At 44.7% G+C, this 14,059-nt stretch overlaps 1 long non-coding RNA gene across 1 annotated transcript, besides 1 other annotated feature; it reads right to left on the bottom strand.

The window, feature by feature from the left end:
* Positions 1 to 70: 70 nt before the first annotated feature.
* LOC105377666 (uncharacterized) lies at positions 71 to 13,094 on the bottom strand. The gene is made up of 3 exons (XR_941078.3): positions 12,937 to 13,094; positions 11,649 to 11,803; positions 71 to 152 (listed from the first exon to the last, which is right to left on the bottom strand). It is a non-coding gene; the product is annotated as an uncharacterized LOC105377666 (long non-coding RNA).
* Positions 1,929 to 2,736: an enhancer, noted in NCBI's record as "H3K27ac hESC enhancer chr4:57559757-57560564 (GRCh37/hg19 assembly coordinates)". NCBI's record gives its function as "activates a minimal SCP1, AML or CMV promoter by ChIP-STARR-seq in primed H9 embryonic stem cells {active_cell/tissue: H9 hESC(primed)}" and the evidence as "EXISTENCE:reporter gene assay evidence [ECO:0000049][PMID:30033119]".

The raw sequence follows: 14,059 nt of genomic DNA, 5'->3' as shown, positions 1-14,059 counted from the left end.
ATTCTGAGAAGTGTCTGTTCATGTCCTTTAGGGCAGCAGCTTTAAACAACTCATACAGAAAGTTCAATATCTTAACTTCCAGTGTGGCAGGATGGGTGTGCCCTGGGTGAATACCAGAACTGGTTGTCATTTTTCAGTGTTTCCTGATCAACCTGTGGACAAAACAAACTGATTTTTAAGGACATTCTCATTGTTTAATGTTATATTGATTTTAAAAATATATTTTATTATTAATACCATGTTTAAATTGTTTTTTAAAAAGACTTAAGGCAGCTTGTAGTTTAAAAAAACCCTTACAAATAAAGTCATTAAGATATGGATCATAATAAAAGTTGTGTATGTAAAAGTTTTTGTTATGGGCTAAATGCTTGTGTCCTGCAAAATTCATAGATTGAGATTCTAACCCCCCAAAGTGACAGAAGTGGGAGATGGGGCATTAGGGAGGTAAGTCAGTTGCAAGGTTGGAATGCTATGAATAAGATTAGTGTCCTCATAAAAGAGACCCAGAGAGTTCTCTAGCCCTCATTCTGCCATATGAAGACACAGCAAGAGGATAGCTCTCTAGGAGCCAGGAAATGGCCCTCACCACACACTAAATATTCTAATAATTTGATCTTACACTTTCTAGCTTCCAGAACTGAGAGAAATAAATGTTTATTGCTTATGCCACTCAGTTGATGGTATTCTGTCATTGCAGCCTGAACTAAGACAGTTTATGCTTGAAAACTTAAACTAAGAACGCTAGTGAAACTCAGCACTAAATTTGACTCTGAGATTCCTAATGGCCAAGATTAAATGAGAAATAGGATGAGTTTCTTAGTTTTGACTATGCAAATAAACCTAAATGCTTCGATCTTTATGCCTAGGATTTAGGGGTGCAAGACCAAGATGGCATTTTGATGTGAAAAAGACAAGCTTCAACTTACTATATTCTTGCCCGAAAAGAGGTCCACTTTGTCTTTTACTCCACATGAGAATCATATTACCAAAGCAAAACACACCTCACCAGTTATGCCTCTGCTGAGTGAAAGACCAATCCCAGCTTTAAAGTAAATGAGTAGGCTGGACATGGTGGCTCACTCCTGTAGTCCCAGCACTTTGGGAGGCCGAGGCAGGCGGATCACTTGAGGTCAGGAGTTCAAGACCAGCCTGGCCAACATGGTAAAACCCCGTCTCTGCTAAACATATAAAAATTAACCAGACATGGTGGCACGCCTGTAATTCCAGCTACTCGGGAGGCTGAGGCAGGAGAATCGCTTGAATTTGGGAGGCAGAGGTTGCAGTGAGCCAAGATTGCACTGCTGCACTCTAGCCTGGGCGATAGAGAACGACTCCATCTCAAAAAAATAAAAAAAGGAATAAATTAAAAAGTAAATGAGTAAAGACAAAATTAGGGAAAGAGAAGCTTGATATCAGGAGAGGAGAATGTGATTTTGAGGATGAATTTTGTTTCAATGACCTGCCTAAGTGTAAAATGCTGGTCTGGATGAGCACCTTAAATAAGATAGTTTCCATCCCATTGAATTCCCCCTCACTCAAGTATAGGACCAGCCAATTATATGCAATCTTTTTTCACCAGAGGAAAAAAAATGAGAACTTTGCGAACACTGAAAGGTGATCTGGTGCCTCCCAGCATTTCTGGGGAGGCAGCCACATTAATGCCTATGATTCTTTCTTGTAGCATCTTCCTAGAGTTAAGGAAAGTCCTTAAAGTTTGCTATTAATGCCTCCTGGCTTAAGACTAGACCGAAGGATTTCAGGGAGCTTGTTTCTAATAGATCCTATGATCAAGAGGATTACAGTTTAGGACCAGAAGGAATACCTTCAACATCTTTTTCATTATTGTTCATGTGACCCAAATTTCCCAGATCTTACCACCCTGTAGTACAAAAGAGATTGCTTTGGAGTCCCATCTTCTGACTCAGGGTTTCATGTCCCAAAAGTTCGCCTTAAGATTTCTGAGATCTCCCTCTCCCTCTCCTCCCTCTCCCTCTCCTCCCTCTCCCTCTCCCTCTCCCTCTCCCCACGGTCTCCCTCTCCCTCTCTTTCCATGGTCTCCCTCTGATGCCGAGCCGAAGCTGGACTGTACTGCTGCCATCTCGGCTCACTGCAACCTCCCTGCCTGATTCTCCTGCCTCAGCCTGCTGACTGCCTGCGATTGCAGGCACGCGCCGCCACGCCTGACTGGTTTTCATATTTTTTTGGTGGAGACGGGGTTTCGCTGTGTTGGCGGGGCTGGTCTCCAGCTCCTAACCGCGAGTGATCTGCCAGCCTCGGCCTCCTGAGGTGCCGGGATTGCAGACGGAGTCTCGTTCACTCAGTGCTCAATGGTGCCCAGGCTGGAGTGCAGTGGCGTGATCTCAGCTCGCTACAACCTCCACCTCCCAGCCGCCCGCCTTGGCCTCCCAAAGTGCCGAGATTGCAGCCTCTGCCTGGCCGCCACCCCGTCTGGGAAGTGAGGAGCGTCTCTGCCCGGCCGCCCATTGTCTGAGATGTGGGGAGCGCCTCTGCCCCGCAACCCCGTCTGGGAGGTGAGGAGCGTCTCTGCCCGGCCGCCCCGTCTGAGAAGTGAGGAGACCCTCCGCCCGGCAACCGCCCCGTCTGAGAAGTGAGGAGCCCCTCCGCCCGGCAGCCGCCCCCTCTGAGAAGTGAGAAGCCCCTCCGCCCGGCAGCCGCCCCTTCTGGGCAGTGAGGAGCGTCTCCGCCCGGCAGCCACCCCGTCCGGGAGGGAGGTGGGGGTCAGCCCCTGCCAGGCCAGCCGCCCCGTCCGGGAGGGAGGTGGGGGGGTCAGCCCCCCGCCCGGCCAGCCGACCCGTCCGGGAGGGAGGTTGGGGGGTCAGCCCCCGGCCCGGCCAGCCGCCCCATCCGGGAGGTGAGGGGCGCCTCTGCCCGGCCACCCCTACTGGGAAGTGAGGAGCCCCTCTGCCCGGCCTCCACCCCGTCTGGGAGGTGTACCCAACAGCTCATTGAGAACGGGCCATGATGACAATGGCGGTTTTGTGGAATACAAAGGGGGGAAAGGTGGGGAAAAGATTGAGAAATCGGATGGTTGCCGTGTCTGTGTAGAAAGAGGTAGACATGGGAGACTTTTCATTTTGTTCTGTACTAAGAAAAATTCTTCTGCCTTGGGATCCTGTTGATCTGTGACCTTACCCCCAACCCTGTGCTCTCTGAAACATGTGCTGTGTCCACTCAGGGTTAAATGGATTAAGGGCGGTGCAAGATGTGCTTTGTTAAACAGATGCTTGAAGGCAGCATGCTCATTAAGAGTCATCACCACTCCCTAATCTCAAGTACCCAGGGACACAAACACTGCGGAAGGCTGCAGGGTCCTCTGCCTAGGAAAACCAGAGACTTTTGTTCACTTGTTTATCTGCTGACCTTCCCTCCACTATTGTCCTATGACCCTGCCAAATCCCCCTCTGCGAGAAACACCCAAGAATGATCAATTAAAAAAAAAAAAAGATTTCTGAGATCTCCAGGGAGCTTTACAAGCACTAACAACATGCCTGCTCCCAGTGGGCATCTGCTGGCCATGGTCCTTGTGTGCTTGGCGTCTGCTCATGCTTGCCTGTGTGCTGCTCCTCCAAGGACTGCAGAGCAAGGGGAAAAGTGGGCGTTTGGCTTTCAGGAAGAGGAGAAAGGGATAAGGCTGTGACAGCCTGTCTCTGGGTTTACACAGGACAAACTTTTAGTTCATAAAATGCAGCCACCTGGATCTGCTTCTGATTTGTTCTGTCACCTTGCGCAGGTCACCTTGGTGCTTTCTACTTCAATTTCCTTTACTGAAAATGGCAAGAATTCTCGTATCATAAAGATGTAGTGGGAACTGGCTATTTAATGATTAGTTGGTATTTTGAAAACATCAAGTACAAGATAAGTGCCAGGGCAGGAAAGCCAAGTATTTGTGGCTTCCCCAGTGAGCAGTTGGTTGTGCTTTTTTTTTTCTATAAACATTCAAAGGAAATAAATTGAGACAGAACAATCTCAAATCCCCAAAGTCAATAAATTGCTCTTTAAGCCTCTTTACTAAACTAGGTTGCTGCATAGGTGAATCCCAGGTTACGAGGGGATAGTCATAAAAAAAATCCCAGGCAACCTGAAGTTATTTAACTAGGGGCACTAGGACTATGGAAAGTTTGGGAAGGGATGAGGCCCCATAGCCAACATTTGATAATTACATTTTAATTAAAGGAATATTTAATCCTAAAATACTCTAATGACATTAATCATCTTAATGAAAACCTTTACTTAAAATATAAAGAAGGTATTTAGGAGGCTGGAGAGAATGTCGAGTGTCATGAAAAGGAAAAGACAGATATAAAATTGGAAAATTTACCTATTCCAATTCATGCTCCCAGAAACCATATCAAAAGAAGCTTCTTCCTTCAGAAAATAAGAGGTATGATATGGGTCACATTGGGTCCCTTTAAAAATCATTATGTTGAAGTCCTAAAACCCTAGTACCTCAGAATGTGACCTTACTTGTAAATAGGGCCATTGCAGTTGTAATTAGTTGAGTTGAGATTATACCGAACTAGGCTGGGCCCCTCATCTGATATGACTGGTGTTTTTATAAAAAGGGAAAATTTGGACACAGATGTACACATTCCGAGAGTACACCCTGGGAAGATGAAGGCAGAGATCAGGGAGATGATTTTACAGAATAAGGAATGCCAAAGATTAAAAGTAAACCACAGAAGATAAGGGATAGACATAGCTTCTCTCACAGCCCTAGAAAGAAGCAAACCTGACAGCACCTTGATCTCAGACTTCAAGCCTCCAGAGCTGTGGGACAATACATTTCTATTGCTTAAGTCTCTCGGTCTGTGGTACTTTGTTATGGCAGCCCTAGGAGACTTATATTACATCCAGTTGTTCTAGTCTAAAGAATCACAGGTGGCCAAGCACAGTGGCTCACGCCTGTAATCCCAGCACTTTGGGAGGCTGAGGCAGGCAGATCATTTGAGGTCGGGAGTTCGAGACCAGCCTGAGCAACATGGAGAAACCCCATCTCCACTAAAAATACAAAATTATCCAGGTGTGGTGACACATGCCTGCAATCCCAGCTACTCGGGAGTCTGAGGCAGGAGAATCGCTTGAACCTGGGAGGCGGAGGTTGTGATGAGCCAAGATCACTATCATTGCACTCCAGCCTGGGCAACAAGAGCAAAACTCTATCTCAAAAAAAAAAAAAAAAATAGGTAATGAGAAGAAGGGATTGAAGGCAGTTGATTGGTTCTTCAATACCTATTCTACTAGTTTAAAGATTTGCTTGGGTTAATATATTATTTTCTTAAAATATAAATATTTCCTTAAAATATTATGATCATCAATTATTTACACCTGATGGCATATTGTATTTTCAAGAGATGGCCACAGTGATATCTCTTACCCCACATTGCCCCTCTAGAATATCACCATTCTCTATTAAGAAGTCATATCAAATTCCCCTTCTCTTGAATCTAAGTGGGCTTGTAACTCCCTTGTAACCAACAGAAACTTCTGAGGCCAGGTCACGAAAGTTGATGCAGCTGCTGTGTTGGGAGCTGAAATACTTGCACTGGAGCATTTCACTACTCTGAGGCTGCCATATAGTGAAGAGGCTCAAACTAGCTCTTATAGAGAGACCACATGGAGAGACCACCTCCGAAGACAGAGGTGCCTAGCAAGACTGCAGCTTCTTCAGCTCCTCTGCTGTTCTGGCTCCAGCCTTTCTTCTGACAACCACTTGGGGGACTCCAGAATCTCCCCACTGAGCCCTCTCTGAATGCCTGACCCACAGAAACTGGGAGAGGTTAAAAATGACTGTTGTTAAGTCACTATGTTTTTGGGTGATTTATTAGGCAGCAATAGATAGCAGACACACCTTAATGCATTATTCTGATAATGAAATTTCTTGACTTTAAAATTAACTGTTCTAGAATTTAATTTTCTCTAGGAAAGGATGGAAAGCACAAGAAAATAAGATGACTTTGGTAACCTAGAAACACCTACTTTGCAGACTTCCCCACGGACTCGTGGGCAATTTTCTATGGCACTAAGCACCGTGAGTGTTGCTCCCCTTGGCATTCTGCCCTATTTATTATCAATTAGAATGTGAATGACAAGAAGTACCTTAAGAGTTGAAACCACTAATCACACTAATGTTTATGTAAATCAGTCAATTCCAGATTGGAGGGTCCTTTTTTACGCCCTACTTCCAAAGGTGTTCTAATTATGCAAAATTGTGTCATCAACTGCCGTGGCCAAGAACAAGTTCATTATCACTTGTGCCAGTCTTGCATGTTGAATTTGCCAACTTCTGAAGACCTCTATTTTCAGTCAGAATCTGGCACTGATTCTAATGATTCTTACTTCATTTGTGATGGGGGTGGGAGGACCAGGATAATAAAGGTGTTTGCACTTTGAATAATCCCCAACCCTTGGCGCATAGCTCTGACATAGCTCCGCTCAATTATAAAAAGGCCATTTCCCCTAGTCATTTCCTTTCCTTTAGCAAAAGCCTGGATCCTTTTGACACTCTCATGTTCCAAATATTCCCTATCTGCCTGTGGCTTGTTTTCTATGGTGTCTTTGATTAGGCCTTCTTCTATCAGGGCATTTGAATAAATAATCCCCCTGCCTCTCTTTTGTTAAGGGAGTTCTTGCCTGCCACTTCTGGTCTCCAAGACAGCCCTCAGCCATTACTGCCAGGAATTAAGATGCCTGTGAAATCCACTCTCACCCTGCAACTGCCTTGCAATGGAGTCCTTAGAAAACATTAACTTCTTTTCATTTTTCAGCCATGAAACAGTGGTTTCTGGCAAACAGTCATTCTGAACATGGCTATTAGTTAAGAATCTCTGCAGACAATAGCCAAGGGGCAACAAAGAAGCCTAAAAGAAAAGATTTCATAATCTCTTATTTGTGATTTGCAAGTGGTAGCTGCTAAAAGTGACTTCTGCAAGCAGGCAGCTGCTTCTGCCATTTACACTTAACCACATAATCATAGAGCTGGGAGAGCCCTTAATTCATGCTCATCAATTGCCAGGGCCTGCAAGGCTTCCTGAAGAGTGTTCCAGAATCCTCAAGTGCTGTCCTCACACCTCCACTTGAAACAGTCAAAACACACTGGGGAGAGGAGACATCTACTCCTTCTCAGAACAGAAACAGAAAGACCATTTTGTCACCTAAACTTCTAACTTTCTTGATGAACAATTTTTGAATGCATATTGACCCTAGTCTTCAAATACCATTTGATGTTGTTATCATTCCCCTCATTTCACATATGAGGAAACTAAGGCTCAAAGAAGGGAAATGACTGGCTAAGGCCTGAAAGAGCTAGAATAGGGTGACCAAGCATTTGGGTTTACCCAGGACTTAGGGATTTTCTGGGATTTAGGATTTGCAGTGCCAAAGTGAGGACAGTTACGGGACAACTAAGAAAGTTGATCACCCTAGGTTTGAACCAGGTCCAGCTTGTCCCCAAAGCCTTTTCCTCTGAACCCTGACACCATACTAAGTTGTCTTCAGTCTGAGATTTGGCTCTGGCACAGATGGGGCCATTTCCCTCTGTCAGAGAACAAAGTCAGGGGTGTCAGCCTCACAGGATCAACCCAAGACCCTCTTGCAGGTTATTCAGAGCCCACTAGAAAGACTAGTTTGGGAGATGACTCTCTAGAGAGGTGAAAGCCAGATGCAAGCGTGTGCACAACCATTTATATAATGTGCCACATCAGAAGACATTCTACAAGGGACCCTAAATTATCACCCACAGAACTGCCAGGGCTTGCCTGGTTGCAGAAACCTCAGAGATGGGCCACGAAGGAGGCAGGGCTTTCCTGAAATACATAGAGAAGAATTTCACTGAATTGGTTAACAAAAGCTGATGACAGCATATTTTTGCCAAAAGCAGAAATCAAAATCTTTAGACATTTTTCAAGGATGATTTATAGTTCCTTCTCTCCTTCCCTCTCTCCCTCCTTCCCTCCCTCCCTCTCTCCCTTCTTCCCTCCCTTCCCCTTCCCTCCTTCCTTCCTTCCTTCCCTCCTTCCTTCCTTTCTTCCTTCCTTCCTCTTCCCCCTCTCTCCTTCCCTTCCTCCCTCCTTCTCTCCCTCCCTCCCTCCTTCCTTCCTTCTTTCCTCTCCACCTCCCTCCCTCTCTCCCTCCCTCCCTTCCTTCCTCTTCCCCCTCCCTCCTTCCCTTCCTTCCTCCCTCCCTCCTTTTTTCCTTCCTTCCTTCCTTCTTCTCCTCATCCTCCCTCCCTTCCTTCCTTCCCTCCTTCCTTCCTTTCTTCCTTCTTTCCTCTTCCCCCTCCCTCCTTCCCTCCCTCCCTCCCTCCTTCCTTCTTTCCTTCCTTCCTTCCTCTCCACCTCCCTCCCTCTCTATCCACCTCCCTCCCTCCCTTCCTTCCTTCCTTCCTTCTTTACTAGCCCACTCCAGTTCTCTCTTTCAGGATGTCTCCCTGGTCTGCAGTGAAAAGGCAGGCACTGAGCAAACACTGTTGAGAGGGTTGTGGCTGGAGCAGATCCTGGTTGCCCACACACACACTGTGGCAGGTATTGCCCTCTAGTTCCTGGACCCTAAAAGGTCTGGGGAAGGCCAGGTGGTTGGGGAGAGAACTGGGAGGGAGGCATGGGGGTGGAAGTAGTGTTTCAATGTTGGAACAAACAGTTGGGAAAGCTGCACTCATGCATTAGGCTTTCTCAGCCCTGAATGGGAGCAGCTGTCCTGCTCATGTGGCTGCTCCGAGGCCCTCCTCCACATTCACCTGCCCCTGACCCTCTCCCCTTGGAGGACAAGAGATTAAAACCGAATGGATCTCAGAGACATCACCTCTGGTTCATCAACTGGCTCAACTTTTTCCTTATACAGATGAGGGCCTGAGACATGGAGAGGAGAGGTGAGATTTTCTAGGTCACCCATGAGCCTTGTGAGTCTTCCTTGGTGCTCTGCAGTAGAGGAGGGAGGAAGAAAAGAGTCTAGACTTGAATCAAAACTCTTTCTCTTCCTTCAGCTTCTCCATGATGTTAGCCCAAATAATTTTCAGCCCTTTCTTTCTCCACTGCGTCATGTCAGGCACACAGGTTTTTGTTTTCTTTTGTTTTGTCTTCAAACTATATTTTTGTTAGCTCAGTCCTCCTTTCCTTCCCCTCTCTGTATCCAAGTAAAATCATTCACAAAAGTCAGTGTCTTAAATAAACAGTACTTGGGGTTGGGGGCACCCCGTGCAGAGGAGGTGGTACCTACTCTTCCTTCCTACCTAGGGCTCCTGTGACACTGTCAGAAGTAGCTACAAAGGCCATGCAGTGCAGTGATTAGACCATGGACTGTGAAACCAGAGTGCCTGGGTTTGGTGCCCAGTCAAGCAAGCTTTTTAACCAAATGATTTTGTTTTTCTTGTCCCCAGCTCCCCACCCCCTGCTTTCTACTAGCACAGGGCCCATCCCTGAAATTTCAGTAGTGGGTGTGAGGACTCTGTCCTCACCCTATGTGTTAGGGGATTACAATCAGGCCAGGTGGCCCCAGTCTGCAACATCTTTCTATCAGTCATGGAAGAGGCCACCTCTTAGGTGAGGCACCACCCCCACCCCTCCTGAGAATGTCACCACACTGCTTCTCAGGCAGCCCCACCTGACAGCAGTGAAGTGAAGCATTCATTCATGAGTGAAGAAAGAGGCCTCCTCCCCAACTCCTTCCACAGATGAGTGATGCCTGCCCGCCCCCCGCCTCACAATTGCCAAGGGCCATCCCCTTCTCTAGCCAATCACAGGAAGGGGATCAGGAAGGAAAACCATACTTGAGGCCTCCTCATTCATTAAACCCTGGATGAATCTAAATGGAATGAGAAGAAACTGTGTTTCTTAAGTAGAAGAACAAACGCAACAGGGGCCACACCAGATGTGACAACCCTACCCAGGCACAGACGCTGTTGATGGGATGCAACATCTAACTCGCGGTCATCAACTCACCTAACACTCCATAGGACCACAAATGAATTAGAAAGATGGTAGAATCCACACCTAGAATCTAGTATATACAGTAGGCCAGGTGCAGTGGCTCATGCCTGTAATCCCAGCACTTTGGGAGGCCAAGGGGGGCGGATCATTTAAGGCCAGGGGTTCAAGGCCAGCCTGACCAACATAATGAAACCTTGTTCCCATTAAAAATACTATATATATATTATATTATATATTATATTATATGTTATATATTATATTATATATTATATATTATATTATTATATTATATATTAATATATTAATATTAATATATATTAACATTAATATATAGTAATATATAATATATTGATATAATATATAATACAAATAATATATTATATAATATATAATACAAATAATATATTATATAATATATAATACATCATATAATATATAATACATTATATATAATACATTATAATACATTATATATAATACAATATAATACATTATATATAATACATTATATATAACATATATGTGTGTGTGAGTGTGTGTGTATATATATATGTATATATATATAGAAAACTATTTTAGCTGGACATGCTGGTGGAGGTTGCAGTGAGCCCAGATCGCACCACTGCACTCCAGCCTGGGTGACAGAGCGAGTCTCTGTCTCAAAAAAAGAATCTAGTATATACAGTGAACCGAAAGGATGACTTAATAATTACCATGCCTACAACAAACTACAAAGAATACAGAGTGTGATTATGTCATAGCTTCCACTCCCTTCTCAGCAGGAAACCTGAGAAGTCCTTTGCCAGGAGGAGCCAAGGGAAATGTCTCTATCCTCAGTCGGTTGGCATCCTTTTCTTTGTCCAGGTTCTCTGCCATTGGCTGATCCTCTTCTGCTTCCCACACTGTTCTACGTGCCAGCCAGGTTGGGCCAGGAAGGGCTCTCTGGGAGTTCGAACTGCCACAGCATCTGCAAAATTCTCGGCCTCTCTGCTTGCAAGTTCACACCTTGGGGGCAGAATTCTCAGCAAGCTCGCCTCTATCCTCTGGCTACCCTCTTCCTCATTTGTTTCTGTATAGGTCAGATTTGGGCCCTTGGGAGGCTTAGAATCTTCACTGTGAATTTACTGAAATGTCCTTGGTAGTTTTGTGTTCCCCAAGAAATGGCTTTTCTCTCTTTGCATAATTTCTCAGGTCCGCATGCTCCCTATTCATATTTTGTGTGGGTTCCACAAAGATGACCAAGGATAGGAAAATCCAGCTTCTTCTTGTAACTATTAGCAGTAGCTACCCATTTATGGAGCGCCTACTATGTTCTGGGTATTATGTAAGTGCTTTACATATCTTTAGTCCTTACAACGAACTTGTGAGATAATTCTCATCAGTCCCATATTACAGATGAGGAAACAGAGAGAAGTTATATAAGTTACCCTTGATCAAATTGGTGGTAAGCAGAAGTAGTGGGACCTCATGCAAGTCTGCAGGATTGAGAAGCCCACACTCTTTCCTTTCCACCATTTGTCCAGTCACAGTAAACACTTACTGAAGCCCTTTCCTCCCCCAGGCATTGTTCCTCTCTTGCGGAGGAACATCCCACGACCCCATTCTTCCTCCTAATTCTCTTGATTTGAGCCATTGAAGAAAAGAGTTCCCAAAACCTGTGGCAAGGAAAAGGTTTAGAACAGCAAATAGAAGAAAAATAACACTTACTGTGGGTGGTAATTTGAAGTTTGTTAATCACCAGGGGAAAAAGAACTATGTGAGAATTACCATCTCAGCCATATGTCTCTAGTTTACATAACCCAGGCACTAGCTGGAGCTCTCAGGCAGAGGCAGAGGCAAACATGTGGGATCCTGGAATTCCACTGAAATATAATAGACAACAGGAGGAGCAGGAAAATGAGTCATGTTTTTATAATTAGTTGTGTTATTGGACCCAACTTCTCTAAGAAATCAACAGCATCATCCAATCCCATCTGGCACAGGAGAAGACAAGAGGCTGACAGATTGTGTGATAGTCCCTGGAAATCGGTGGTGATATAAAGACCTAGGATCTAAACCTGCAGGAAAAAAATTAGTGGCCAGCTACCTCCCTTATTTGCAGGCTGTTGAAATACTCTTAATTTTACTGAGAGCCAAAGCAAACTTATCTCACTGGGAAAAAAAAAAAAAAAAGCATAGAAAGAGAGAACTGATATAGTAAAACCCAATTGCCATGGCTGGACTGGTGCCCAAGCATGAAAGAAGTTTAGGTTATTGTATTTTAAAGGATCTCTTAGATTGGCAAAACTGTGGGTAGCACATTTCTGCTTCTTCACTAATAAATGAATCTTGATTTTGTTCAGATGATCAGAGCAATTTGTCTGGAGAAGGTGGATTCTTCCCTTAGACCCAGGAGAGGAACCATGATCAGCCTGATCCCTTTCCTCTTTGAAAATGATGGATTTAGCCAATGTGTTGGCTGACACAACCCAGTGCTCAGCAAGGAGACATAAGTGAAAGACTCCTAGTGATTTCTGAAAAGGTTTTCCTCTCTAACAAGGAAAGACACTTAGGAGAAAGAAAGCCTGGGACACTTTTTACCTGTCTTTGGATATTTTGTTTAAAGATATGATGAATGGAGCTACTGTAGCCATCTTACCACCATGAGGAGAGACAATGCTGTCACACTGAGAGCTACAAAATGAAAGATGGAAAAAGCTAGAGGTCTTGGTTTCATCACTGCACCCCCAATCAACCGGAACCATATACCTGCTACCTGCAGAGTCAAGTGATGTAAAAACTGCTTCATGGTTTCAATCACTTTTTCTTTAATCTCCATGATACACCGGATAAAGAGAAACAGCTTGAAGTTGACACATTATGCAAGAGAAAAAGAAATGTCTCATCTGAACCAGGATGAGACTCTGTTGATGCCAGGACCTCTATCTGTTGGGCTGTACTGCCTCCACGGGAATTTAGAAACTGAACAGATGGCACATATTTATTGAGCACCTACCAAGTGCCAGGCACTGTTCTGGATCACAGGAGTAAACAATGCAGAAAGGTCATTGTTGTCATGGAAATCACATTCTGGAAGACAGATGATAAACAAAAACACAATTAAGGATAGGTGAAAACACTCTTAGGCAACTTTCTAAGTATTGGTTCAAGCCAGTCCTGAGTGAAACCCTGACTCTGGAATCAGATAGAACTGGATTCAAATTCCACCCCCACCATTCACTGTGACCTTGGGAAAGTTATTTAGTCTTTCTGAGTATCAGTTTCCTCTTCTGTAAAATAACGATAATAAAAAAAACTAACTCAGCCGGGCATGGTGGCTCACGGCTGTAATCCCAGCACTTTGGGAGGCTGAGGCAGGAGGATCCCTTGAGCCCAGGAGTTTGAGACCAGCCTGGGCAACATGGTGTAATACTGTCTTTACAAAAAATTAGCCACTTCTGGTGGTGTGTGCCTGTGGTCCCAGCTACTTGGGAGGCTGAGGTGGGAGAATCACCTCAGCCCGGGAGGTCAAGGCTGCAGTGAGCCAAGATCGTGTCACTGCACTCCAGCCTGAGTGAAAAACAAAAAACAATACAACCTCATAGGGTTATTGTATTACATATTAAATAAGCAGACAAACTCTCTGTACAGTCCTTACATGGAGCCTGACACACAGTCAGTCTTACTAGATTATGGATCATCACCATTGTCATCATCATAATAATTTGTGCTGTCATAGTAATAATTTGTGCAACAACAATAATAATAATAATGCTGTGGGTATCAAATGATAAACAAGACATAGACCCTGCCCATTCAAAAAATCGTGGCAGCAAGAATCCAGATTTGGCCATAGAATGGTCAGAAGTTAGGCATTGAATTAGGCAGGAAACAAAAGAATTCCTCTGGTAACCAAGGTTGGGTTAACCTGGGCCCCCTGTCTCTACTCTTTCCCACACATGTTTTATAACCGTCACCCCCTTTTCCAAGAGGGAAAGAGGTATTCTGAATGAGCGCTGCTCTTCTTTCACATATGGCTACTGTTCCCAAGAGACTCAAGTGGGCTTTCTCTTTCTCTGCTGAAGTGAATAATATAGGGTGTGGCTCTCTGGATGGCACTTACCGGTTTGTGCTACAAA

This window comes from Homo sapiens, chromosome 4 (genome assembly GCF_000001405.40).
Source record: "Homo sapiens chromosome 4, GRCh38.p14 Primary Assembly".
NCBI lineage: Eukaryota > Metazoa > Chordata > Mammalia > Primates > Hominidae > Homo > Homo sapiens.
Note: the sequence above shows the minus strand (reverse complement) of the source record. Positions and strands in the feature narration are given on the sequence as shown.